General features: G+C 33.9%; 1 long non-coding RNA gene across 1 annotated transcript; it reads left to right on the plus strand.

Moving 5' to 3' along the window:
- Nucleotides 1-424: 424 nt before the first annotated feature.
- Nucleotides 425-13584, plus strand: LOC105374659 (uncharacterized). The gene is made up of 3 exons (XR_925798.3): nt 425-514; nt 4557-4636; nt 13514-13584. It is a non-coding gene; the product is annotated as an uncharacterized LOC105374659 (long non-coding RNA).
- Nucleotides 13585-14115: the final 531 nt, after the last annotated feature.

A 14115-nucleotide genomic window follows, 5' to 3' on the forward strand; every position in this document is an offset into this window, starting at 1 on the left:
TAAGTTGTGGAATTTATGGATAACAATTGTTTGTAGTAGTTCTATATTATCCTTGCAATGTCTATGGAATCAACAGTGAAGACCCCTCTTTATTTCCTATTGGTCATTGGTATCTTCATTTATTTTTCTTTGCTAGCATGACTAGAACTTTATTAATTTTGCAGGTTTTCTCAAATCTGCAAAACAACAAATCTTTGGCTTCAGTAATTTTCCCTATTGTTTCTCTATTTTAAATTTCATTGATTTCTACTCTAATTTTTATGTTTTTCTTGTACTCACTTTAGAGAGAGAAATATTTGAAAGTTGTTCCTGCATGTAGAACAAACAGTAAACATCCTGAAAAGATTTGATAGCCAGTCTACCTTCTGTCCATCACCTATAGACACCCTCTTCCTTCTCAAGTCAAACTCAGTGGGTCAGTCATGTTCACTACTATGCTGTTACGGAGATGGCTACGAGAGAGTGGAACCACACTGTGGAAGAAGCTTCTGTCTTCTCTGACAAGGAAGAGGAGGTGACATCTTAAGTTCTATGATAATAACATACAAATACATTCAATATATTTAGATTTAAGTCATATACTTCTAATAAGATAAGTTGAAAATAATTAGACTAAGCTGTTCATATGCAGAAGCATGTAGTAAGCATAACAAGATGATTTTGGAGTCTATGATGATCCTGCATACAATTTTTTTCTGGTCAAATTATTTCATTTTTTTCCAAACTGCCCTCAAGCCTACTAGATTAAGAAAAAAATAAACTATGTGATTGTTAAAAATAAAGATCAGTAAAAATATATCAACTTTCCAAATGTAAAATAATGCAGCCAGTATTCACATTGCACAATGCTTTATTAATTGAGACATATGCATATTGGAGTTGTGCAGAGTGAGGATGTGTCTCCAATATGCATAAGTTTTTCTTAAAATAGTGAAATCTAAAGTGAGCACTCTGTTTAAGAATTAATTACAGGAGTTGTATAGTCAACGCAATATCATGTGACTTTTTATGTTTGTCATTTAATGTTCAAAGAATATCAGAAATATAAATGTCTAGAAAGAGACAAAAATAACTGCTGGAAAATAACTTAATCTTTTGACCCACACTGTGTTCCTCCTGAGTTTCATGTTTTATTCTATTTCAGTTATTATTTTCTTTCTCCAGATGCCCTTAATTGTACTTTAACAACAGATTGCAGTTATAGTATGCACTATTCTCTTTTTATTATACCAGTTTGCTGTTCCTTAGTATATGACGTTGTTGTACCTCTGTATTTTATCCTTCGACTTTTATCTCTGTTTTAATTATTATATTTGAATACACAAAACAATGCCCAAACTGTTTTGAATGGTAAGCCGAAAAGTTCTTTTTTTTTCAAGGCAACTTTCTTCTCAGAAGCAAGCTCTCCCTATCTACGGAAATATTTTTGTATTTTCTCACGGAGCCTTACAATTTATAAGGGATTTTATTTGTTTCCACCTTTTCAAAACTGAATAATCCCTGCTATGAATCCACCATTATAAGCTCTAACAAAGATCTTCATTGTTCACTGCAACATTATTTATGAGAACAAATTATTAGACACAACTTAATATAAAGGGCCATGATCAAATATAGACTTTGTCAACATAAATGTCTTCCTGTTAAAAAACAAGGGAGATATAGAATATATACAAAAATATATATACAGATATATATGTGCCTATTAAAAAGAATAAAGGACACTAGGACATATCAACATGGAAGCATATCATTGGTAAATCACTGAGTGAAAAACTGGGGAGTGTGTTTACCTACAGGTATATAAGGCAACAACTTTATTGTAATAAAGTACCTATCTTGGTCTGCCTGCCTATTTAGCTCTAACCTGACTCAATAATGCATAGCACATAGAAGACATTAAATAAATATTGTTTGACTCATAAATCTCTAGAAGAAGGCAACCTAGCTATTAATCATGGTTACATCAAAAAATGAGATTATGAGGATATTTGGAGAGAGAAGCAAGATTTTTCACCCTTTTTTATATATATTATATATAGAAAGATAGTTTAGATATTTCACGACACACACACACACACATATATTCTACAGCACATTATATGCATGTGCATTAAAATACTGCAACTATATAACGTATTTCTATAAAATGCTAGAAAGCCAATAAATATTTGGGGAAAAAACAAAATATTAAACATACCACTTAGTAACATTAATTATTAGAGAGGCTGTAAACTTCAGTTGTCTTTGCCTTCTGAGAGGCTACAATGTAAATCCCAAAGTAGGTTGTGATGTGGCAGCCTTAGTTCAATATTCCAGATAAATCTAAAATTTAGCATTGTGGTATCCATTGGTTTAGAGTGGCTTTGAAGACTTTATAGCTTATACATAACCATGAAAAGGGGATGAATTCCTGGTATATTTTAGGGAAGACAATTATTTGTACACCAACATTAACATTGCCTCAACAACTTAGATGAAATGGTACTAACACATTGTCGATGAAATTTACTGACCAAGAAAACTTGGCCTTCAAGCACTCTTCTTTCAAAAAAGTCTAACTCCAAATATCGTTTGCATATAAGCAAATCACAGTGGTTTTCCAGAGAAGCATGGCAGGAATTCCTTTTATGGTCGATGCTACTGGGGATTTCTGTAACAGGTGGTGCATAGATCATAAAGAAAAATAAAAAGCAATATGAAAAAAGTAAGCAAACATTAAATTCCAAAAATATTCTGTACCATACCCTAGCTGATGTTTTTATCCTTTCACTCTATTTAGGTGGAGAGAATCCTTCATTTTTTTAAATTAAAAAAAGCAGAAAGTCTTAAGGTGATTTCTCCATACAGAAGTATTAAAAGGGTCAATTTGTCCTCTACTTCATTCATTCAGATATTTCCCCATATAACAAATATTCATTAAACATCAATTTTATCCCAGGCTCTGTCATAGGTTGTGAATACACATTTCAACAGTAATGATGAAGCCCAACTTTCTAGGACTTTCCTGCCGAAGTATTCCCTTTATTTTAGGGAGAAAAAACAAAAACAACCATGCATATATATATATGTGTGTGTGTGTGTGTGTGTGTGTGTGTGTGTGTGTGTGTAATATGTGTGCTTATTTATATATAAATTATATAGATTATATATAAATTATATTATTAAATTAATATATAATAAATAATATATAATATATAATATATAATATAAAAAAAAATTTTATATATAATTTATGACTCCCCAGATGTGTAATTACTAATACTGTACTGTTCACCAGAACCCTTACCAATAACATAAACAATCGATTAACACATATTTTTATGTTATATATATCATATACTGTATCCTTACAATAAGGTAAACTAGAGAAAAGAAAATGTTAATTAGGGAAATCATAAAAAAGAGAAAATATATCTCCTATTCATTAAGTGGAAGTGAATTATCATAAAAGTTTTCTTCCTTGTCACCTTCACATTGAGTAGGCTGAGGAAGAGGAGGAAGTGGGGGAGCTGGTCTTACTGTCTCGGGGTGGCAGAATCCAAAAAGGTGGAGAAGGTGGAAAGGGAGGTAGGAGAGGCAGGCACACTCTGGGTAACTTTTACTGAAAAACATCTTCCTATAAGTAAATTTGTGCAGTTCAAATCTGTGTCATTCAAGGATTAACTGTGCTAAACGTATTATAAAACCATAAGTAGTTTGTTTCATTTTAGGTTAGAGATTTTAAATATATACTAGTAAATATCAATAAGCTTAATATAATTTTCTCTTGAAATGTTTAGCTGCAAATGTAGGCATGAGACAGACAGACAACCAAGTTTATCCAGTTTTTTATATTGGTGAGAAAAATGGAGGTTAGAAATGTAATGATGTTCACAAAAGGATGAATCTAAATAGGGTTTATGGAATCTAAGCTGAGTAAGGAGAGAAATGAACGTGGACAGTCAGTCATCTGGATCCATAGGTTGAAGATCTCAATGACATAGAACATCTTTACATGGGGACATTTGTTAGAGCAAGTGAGGAGGAATTATTGTGTTATGTGGATGTGGTCAGGAAGTGGAACTTCAAGTGCAAATCCTGGGACTTCATCTCGTTCTCCTGACTATGAACTGACTTCTAATTTGCTCTCAACACTTTGGACTCTGACCTAAGAATTTGATGCCTAATTTTTAATTAGGTTTCCTGTTGTTACTGTTGTTTTAGAGTGTTCAGCTGTGCATACACGCATGCACAGAATTCACTCTAATTCATTTTGAAAGGTATAGACTTAAGAGATATTCAGAATTCACAGAATTACTGCATAGCTAGAGAGAAATTTTCTAGGCTAAATTTTTAAGACCAAGAATTACACCAAAATACCCTGGCAAAGATGCAGACACTGTCATGTTGTAAGCCTCACATAATACCACTGTCAGGCAGCTGCCACCACCACCCCCAACACCTGGATCAGCAAATGGCATGTGCCTGTTCCCTCAGTTAGCTCATGTCTTACCCAAAGCCTACCATGTGGGCACTGATTGGTGGAAATTAAATGACAAGTTTTCTCTCCACAGACATGGGAAGCTGGGATGTCTGTTGCTTTGTGATTCCATGATAGACTTGACAACACAGAAACTACCACAATGTGAGGAAGGTGCGCAAGGGGCTTCTGGAAGACTTTAAAAAGACTCAAAGGGAAGAGCTTAAGTTACTTATTCCAATAGCAAAATGTGCTGTTATCCATGTTGTTTAAAGACCTTGCTCTACAAGTTTGTCTTTATCATACTGTACAATTATCTATACAGTACTAAATACAGAAGAGTGTTCAGTAATGATAAGTGTGTGACGATGAGATTACATTAGGAGAGACAAATATGTGTTACCCAGTCATTCTACCCACACAGACTATGTATGTAGATTTTTTTAAAAAGTGACTACTTTTCAGAACACTTTCCAAACTGTATTCTAAATGACAAATGCCCAGTTAGTTCATAATATATGTAGTTTAAAATATTTCAGATCGAAACACAGGGAAATGCCCTGGCATGCTTCCTGTGAGAGAATTATTAGACTCCAGAAAGCAGGAGACTAATTCATGATACTAATCTAGAAAAAAGTGTGAGTTTCAAATTATAAAGCCAAGCTATCAAGTGGAATGAGGTTTAAAGCCTTTACATTTTATATTTATTTTTGCCTCACTTAACCAAATACCTCAGATGAGTGCATATTTTTAGCCTAAACTTACACCATAATTACCTCAATTCTGGATCACACTGCCAATGTATAACTATTAGTATGTTACCAGAGGAAAGTTGGAGAAACAATTCTGGTAAAACATTTTTTTATGTGAGAGAGAGAAACCCTGTAATTTTCAGCAAAATGATTACATAAAGAGCTACCTATAATTTTATTTAATTGTACCTTTTTATTTCATTTTGTCAACCTAGCTTTTTTTCACCCTTGTCTCAAAAGAAAGACATTACAACTATGTTCAAAGCAAAGTTTTCAGGGATATTTACATAGTTAACTGTTCTCAATTTATGTCTAAGATTACAGCATTTTAAACAACTAGCAGAGAATGTAAAACTCATAATAGCAATATTTTCCTTAGGTACAGGTACAGAGAGACCTCTCCTTTCAAATATTGAACATAAAAGTATTAATCATGAGTTACATATAAGTAAAATTAATAAGACTGTACATTAATTATGAATAATAGGCTATATGGCAACAAATGCAAATATAACCCTATAGATTACCATCAACATATCAAACTATATAATCCACAATATGTTAAAAGTCCATGTTGCGGCATAATATTTCATTGTACATATGTATCACATTTTCTTTATCCATTACAATCACCTGCTGATGGGTAATTAGGTTATTTCCATATGTTAACTGTTGTGAATGCTGCTGCAATATAAATGGGAGTGCAGAATCTCTTTAGGATCCTTGTTTCAATTCATTTGGATATATACCCAGAAGTGGAATTGCTGAATCATATACTAGTTCTATTTTTATTTTTTACAGGGCCCCCATATTGTTTCCCAAAACAAGTGTACCATTTTACATTTCACTAATATTTCTACATCCTCACCAATATGTGTTATCTTTTGTTTATTAATAATAAGTGAAATTAGCCAGTCTTACAAAGACGAATCCTGTATGATTTCACTTATATGAGGTTATCTAAATAGAGAAACATGGAGGTAGAGAATTGAATGGTGGTTTCCTGGGAATGGGAGGGGGAAATAGAGGATTGTTCAGCAGATATAAAGTGTTAGTTTTGCCAGATAAGTAAGTGTGGAAATCTGTACAACATAGTGCCTAAAACTAACACCATGGTATTGTGCACTTAAACATGTATAGAGTGTAGATCTCAAGTTAAGCATTCTTGCCACAGAAAGGACACAAGGAAACTTATGGATGTGATGGATTTACATGTATTACCTTGGTTGTGCTGAGAGTATCAGCAGTGTATTCATCTGATAGTATACATTAAATGTGCATATCAATTATACCTCCATAAGCTGTTAAAAATTCCATTATGAAACTTTCCTTTGTTGTTGCTACATAGAGAAAAGGTGATGGTGAAGAATGCTGATTATTAAATCAGTTTTCCTGAGTTCAAAGCCAGCTCTACTGATGATACCCTCATGAGCAACACCAAATTCTTTAATATTTCTGTTTCCTCATCTGTAAAGGAAGGATTATATTAGTACCTACTTCATAGGATTGCTGTGATGCTTAAATAAGAAAATACATGTAAAGGACAGAAACCAGTGGCTGGCACATTTTGGAATCCCTACACAGGTTAGATTTTTAAATTAAGTGTCCACCTTTAGAAATATTTTTCATGACTCACTGACAGATTTTTCCATTTATATATTTTGTTCCTGGAAGACATAAAACTATATCTTCAGTGCATACTCAGTTAACACATCAATGTTCTATTCATACTACTTAAAAATTCTAGAGCTTTACATGAAGTTTATTTATTCACCTAGATGAGTGGCTGGCACCCTTTTTCTGCATAGGGCTAGTGAGTTAAGATTTTAGTATTTGCAGGCCATACGGTTTCCGGCACAACTACTCAACTCTGCCATTATAGTGCAAAAGCTGCCCTAGATAATACTGAATCAAGTAGGTGTAGCTGCAATCTCATGACACTTTATTAAAAAAAAAAAAAAAAGCAAGCAGCAAGCCAGATCTGGCCTATGCGTGTAGTTGTCTGACCCCTGATCTAGATATTTGAAAAAATGAAAATAAAGTGCTCAAATATTTCAACCCTATTTAACCTTTTCTAAGGGAAATAAATTCAATGAAGCTCTTTGAGTATCACAATTGCACTCTGTGAGTATATGTATCTAAACCCTGAATTCACATTAAATAAAACAAGTATAAGCAATAGTCTGAAAATTCTGTTTTGTGTTAACAAACACAAAGAAGAGCTTTTAGAGTTTATAAGACTAGAGAAACGTGCCTGATTCAACACTTAAAAGATGGAAGTAACGCAAGTTGTTACTCTCATATGTTTCTCTCTACTTACCATATGAAGATCAAACACAGTATATGCATTATTTAAAAAATACCATTAGTGTATTATTAATTCAATATTTATAACTGTTAAAATGTTATGATAGAAAATCCTAATTGTCAAGTATAACGTTTTCTAAAATAAAAAGCAGCTAAATCTATCCAATCAGAGCCTGACTTAATAGAGATATGTCCATAACCACAATCAATGGAGTGGTGACCTTACTCAAAAGGTCACTGCATTAGTAGTGCCTCTCATGAGAGATGATGGCAAATTTGTGCATTTTTGAAAATGATAAACGAAAGAGAAACTAAAACCATTTTAGAAAAATCTGAATATCAACAATACAAAATAAAATATATATCATCTTGATTTTTTTAATTGTGTTTTGTTCTGTTTTAGGCTAAATTCTTGAGGTAATTGCCCAAACTTTCCATTTAATTTTTCAAAGTATGCCTAAGTGTGTAAGGAAAATAAATAACTGGAAGGCTGGCTACTATGCAGGTTTTGGCTTTTACTTCCTGGGGCCCAGCACCTTCCCAATTACCCAACATGTAGAAGACACTAACCTTGTGTAGAGTGTAGCAGGGGGAGACGGCATGGACCGTACTTCCCAAAACATGACTGCACATTCCCTTGCAGGCTACTTCTGAACAGTAGAGTCCCAAACACTGAAAGTATCTCTGAGGACTTTTCAAAGGGTTTAATCCTCCTGTGCATTCACCAGCAAATACCTAGGCCTCAAGGAACAGATTTGATTTCCTAAGCTTTTTCTGTCTACACTAGAAAAGTTGATTATTATGCAGAGGGAGGACACATAGCCTCGTGTCCTGGATGGACAGCTCCACTGGCTTCTACTAGAAAGGACGGATGTCAGTCTTCATTATGAGAACACATTCCTTCTCACCATAGCTCTCATCCTGAATTCCAACCCCCAACAGATGTCTGTACATTGAAGACTGGTGTTTACCTCTCTGTGATTTCCAATACCGGGGCCAATTTCACTGACCAATAACTTCTGAATTGTTGAAGGGCTGCTACTAGACCCCTGCCCAAGTCTTTCACTTTAATAGGATACAACTAGGAGTTTACTACATCCCCTCCCCTCCTCATGGTGACTCCTTGGCACTTTCTATGTAACTCTTCTATGATCCCTACCTAGCAGCTTCTCTCTCTCCACTAGATAGCCCTTCAATCCAAACCAGTTCTAGAGCTGGAGACACCTGGTATTTCTGTATTCTGTTCAAACATTAGAGCAATATCAAATCCTAGACAGACAGACAGGTAGATACAGAGATGGACAGAGAGAGAAATATATAAAGAAATTGCTTCAAATCTTTTGTCTAATCTAGTTCACATTTATGAAACACAATACAAGTCAAAAAGAGAGAGAAAAATAATTACTTCATTCAGATGATAGTAATGGAGATCCAAGGATATTTGTCAACAATTCCACCCAAAATTGAGTAAAGGATTTTTTGGGGCAATTTTCTACTCATTGTTTATGTATACATTTAATAAGAACATATTGTATTGCTATCTAAATACATTTTGTATTCTACATTTTTGTATAGTTTTCCTGTTTACTACTGCCTCTTTTATCTTATAGACATATCTAACCCTTTAATCTCACCTGTATTCCCAGGCATTAACTAGCATTTGTGGATTATACACATTGCTCTCCAAGCACAAACAATGTACACAATTAATATGTATGTAAAAGAATGTGTTTTTTTGGTCTGTGTTTTAAAAGTGGGATCATGTGGTCTCTATTTCTCTAGTTCTCAAATTTCTTGAGCTAATTCACATAAGAAGGCTCACATGGAATCTTACTTCACATGAAAATCACCAAATTTTTTAACATCTCTGCCCTCTATTTCTTAACTATCAATACATCAAGAAGCTACTTTCTGGTCATTTACAATGTTTTAATTCTATATGTAAATTTGCATCTGAGAAATAATTTTTACCAAAAATAAAGAAAAAAGAAAAGAAAATCTTTCCTCCTTAGAAATCAAAATATCTAGTTACAAAATAACACAGGTTCCTGCCACTACTACACACACATACAATTATGAAATTTGAAGACATTTTTGTCTTAATATTACATATTTGGAGTTGGACAAAATACACTTAATTCCAGTGACATTATAATTCACTCAATGGATGGAAATAAAAACCTAATTATCTGTGATTTAACCCACTACTTCTCAAAGTGTAGTCTATAAATACATAGTTGGTCCACAATCTCTTACCTGTCTGCCATAACTTAAGTATAGAAGTTGACAGCATTTCAAGGTATTTCTGGTACTTTGGAGAAGAATTTCATGGTTGCTGAGTCACAAGACCAAGATATTGGCTTGTATTTTATATGTCTTTTTTCCTCCAACTTGATTTCCTCCAATCAAGATATAATTGACAAATAATAATTTTATATGTTTAAGCTGTATAAGATGTCTTGATATACATATACATTGTGAAAGAATTACCATAATAAATCAAATTAAAATACTCATCATCTCACACAGTAAACCTTTTTCTTTTTTTGTGGTAACGATATTTAGTATCTACTGTCTTTGCAAATTTTATATATACAATGCTTCATTATTAACTATAGTTACCATGCTGTACATTAGGTATCCAGAATTTATTCATCTTATTGTACCCTTTGACCAATAACTCCCCATTTCTCCCTATCCACAACCATTGGTAACCAGCCTCCTACTCTCTGTTTCTATAAGTTCAACTTTTTTAGAATCCACATAAATGCAAGATCATGCAGTATTTGTCTTTTCATGTTTGGCTTATTTCACTCAGCATAACGTTCTACAGGTTTATTCCTGTTGTTACCAATGGCAGGATTTCCTTGGTTTTTAAGGTTAAAAAGTATCCCACTGTGTGTGTGTTTATGTGCATATTACATTTTTAAATCTATTCATCTATTGATGAACACATAGGTTGTTTCCATATCTTGGCTATTGTGAATAATGCTGCAGTGAACATGGGAGTGCAGAAATCTCTTTGAGATTAGTGATCTTATTTCCTTTGGATATATATCCAGATGTGGAATTGCTAGTCATATGGTAGTTTTATTGTTTAATTTTCTGAAGATCCTCTATTCTATATTCCATAATGACTATATGAGTTTGCATTCCCACATATGTCTTTGTTATTTTATTTCTGCTCTGTGGCAGATTAGGAAAGCGCACACACGCACACACACACACTCACACACACAAACACACACACACTTTCTCTGAACCACAGAAAGTCTGAGAGGCAGAGCTCTATGGCAACAGTCATCAATCTTCACGTTATACACTACTGTTCAGTATTTTAAAACCTCTGTTATACTCTTGTAAAACAATAATTACATGATATTTACTATAAGTATCTACTACATGCTGAGTATCATGGAAAAGTATACAAAGTGATAAGACATGTCTATAATCTGGGTAGGTAAGAACAGAGGCAGAGGAAACAATTGGGAAACTCAGACGCTTTGTAATGAAGACCTATGGTGGGCTCTAGATGAACCTTCATCATCAGAAGCAGCTGAAAATTCTTTTAATGCTTTCTTATTCTATCTCAAGCTAACAAAGGGCACAAAAATTGATATTCATCATGCTCTTTTTTAAACCTAACAACTGTTCAAACAGACATTGAGAACACTGGCATTTCAGTAAAATCCTTAATATTTGTGAATCCAGTTTTTCTTTCTTTCTCCACCAACAGGTCTTTTTGCAATGGTCAGAGAAAAGAAGAGCAGAAAAGTCCCAAATCATTTATAACACTCAAACAAATAAAACAAATAAAATGCACCTTTGGAATCTCACTTCACCTCATAAAGTGACTTCACACTTCACCTCATGAAATAATGAAAAACAAAATCCTCTTTTTGTCAGCAATTTGGACTCAGTAAGACTGTATTAAACCAATTGCTTTAAGACAAAAACATCTTTGTCATCCTACAAGAGATGAGAACTGACAGATCCAAGGGGGGAAAGAGGAATGCTCTTATTGTTTATGCTTCACACCTCACAGCTTTATCCTCAAGCCAGTCACACACACACACACACACACACACACACACACACACTCTCACACACACATGCCTGCACGTGCGCGCGCGTGCACACACACTTGACAGTTTTTTAATCTATATAAAAGCATAAACTCCATAAGGCAATCAAGTACCCATTGTTCTTTAGCTACTTTGAGGCTTTTTTTTGACATTACCAAATATTAGCAGGAATGTTCAAAATCAATTTCACATTAAAAAAATTCCTAACAGTCAGCATTCTTCTTATTACAGGAATCACCACAGAAACACATGTAAAAACATAAGATTTTACCATTCCCTTAAATATGCATGAAATTATTTTAATTATTTTATTCTCATTCTCTCTTTTACTACAACGTGTTCCTAGTAAATTTTAAAGTGTATTTTTTAGCAAGAGAAAAAAAGGGTCAATTGTACACTCATATGTACAAGTTATCATGAATTTAGGTCTATATGGCTTAACGAGAGGATTTTCTTTTCATTCTTTACTTGATTATTCACCTTCAACAGTAGAGTTGTGAATTTAAAATTTAAATGACCTACGTATTAACTAATAAATACCGTACAGACCTTGGCATTAATTCAAATGGTATAATTCTGACAGCAGTAAAACAGGAATCATGGTGGATCCACTACTATAGGAGGCATGGTAAATGTTTCAAAAGATTGCAAGATAGTGATGTCTGACCAATTGTAAAGCTAAGTCATTCCTAGTATATTAATTCCAGGATTTCATGATTAAAATGTCTTAACCATTTTTATTAAAGTGTGGTATACTTTAGCATAACTGATAAATAAATCCATAATTAATTTAACTTACCCATCATCGATTTACAAATTTTAAGTTATATTAGGTTGGTACAAAAATAATTGTGGTTTTTGCCATTTCTTTTAATGGCAAAAACTGCAATTACTTTTGTACCAACCAATACAAACTTTCTTTGATACTGAGGTATCTTTTCAGAACAAGAAAGATAAAATAGGTCAAAGGATTTTGCCAAAAAAGTAATTTGACCATTTACATAAATAATACCCTAATCAGGGAAACATTTCTGAAGCCCTTCTTGATCACCTTCCTATTCCTTGGTATTCCAAACATGAACCTCGCTGTCATCATCAATAAGCTATGGGCATCCTGATTTATTTGCGTGTCCTTAGTACTGTGCACAAAGCCTCACTGGTAGACAGTAGACATTACATAAACACTTGTCTATGAAGAAATCTATTCAAGCTTTCTGTTTGGACTTGAATAAAAAAATATGAAATCTTTCCATCTATCAAGAAAACAGAACCCCACTGCCCTTTGGGGGTTTAGCTGAGGCCAACGTATGATAAAGTTGTCACTAAAGAATTCAAAAAAATATATAAGGTTGAGAATGATCAAAATAAATGTAATGAGATTTCATTAGACAGACAACCAGTCTAGACATAAGAATGCTTCCAACCATCTGAGTAACAAGTCAATATGACTATTTTCTGGTAAAACTGGGAATGCTTACAGACGCCAGGGGTGAAAGGCATTCAACAATGACTTATTTTAAGGATGAATTTGTAAACTGCCAGATAAAGGGCGAGAGATTGCCAGGATGGTATCCTACCCACCTGCCACCTTATTGCAACGGCCCTGAGTTGCAGACACTTGTCACTTATGTGCCCTGGACTGTGTGTAAGAACTGTGTTCCCAATGCACAGTCAACACAAAGTCCTCTGTGGTTCACTGGAACCACCACCAGCACCATCACCATCACTAGAAACAAACAGATTCAAAAGCTAGCAAATAACATACCTGTTTTCATCACCTGTACTAAAAAATAAGTCCTGTCTAGAATAGAATTTTAGAACAAATGAAGATTGCATTCAGCACCCTGTCCATCCTTTTCCCGTGCCACTCCCTTACACCTACCAGTAAAATATTGGTCCTCTTTCAGCCCAGCAGTCCTCTGACCACACCATACCTGAGCACATTTACTGTGGACAGCATGTTTAGCTTGAAGTCTTTCCTTCTACCCCATCATAGCTACCACTGTTGTGAGAACTCCCATGTCCAGCACTCCAGGGAGGTGACATCAGGTACGAATAAGGTGATACCAGGTACCGTGACTATTTGTTAAAATGTCATGAACTAGAATAAGGCCTGGAAATACACAAATGTATATCATAGGTAAATAAATGACTGTTAAATATGTTTATTTGGTATGATGCTAAAAGGATATGCATTCTTATAAAGGAGCCTTGTATCTGGCAAATGTGTTCCAACATACTCACTGATGATGACGGTGAGTGATGTCTATAAATATACATGGAAATATGTTTGTTTTTGCTAAAATAAATGTATTTTATTCTAAAATATTCTAAAAATACTGAAATAAAAAATATTTCATTTATTAACCATCAGAATGTAAGATCTAGTTTCCATAATCCAGGGTCTATTTAGAATATATTACGTAATTATTCAGTGTTAGACGTGGTAGTGATGGCTCAAGAGAAAATAAGATTTTTAGTAAGGAAAATGACTAGTTCAGAAAATAAG

Source organism: Homo sapiens, chromosome 5 (genome assembly GCF_000001405.40).
Source record: "Homo sapiens chromosome 5, GRCh38.p14 Primary Assembly".
NCBI classification, from domain to species: Eukaryota; Metazoa; Chordata; class Mammalia; order Primates; family Hominidae; genus Homo; species Homo sapiens.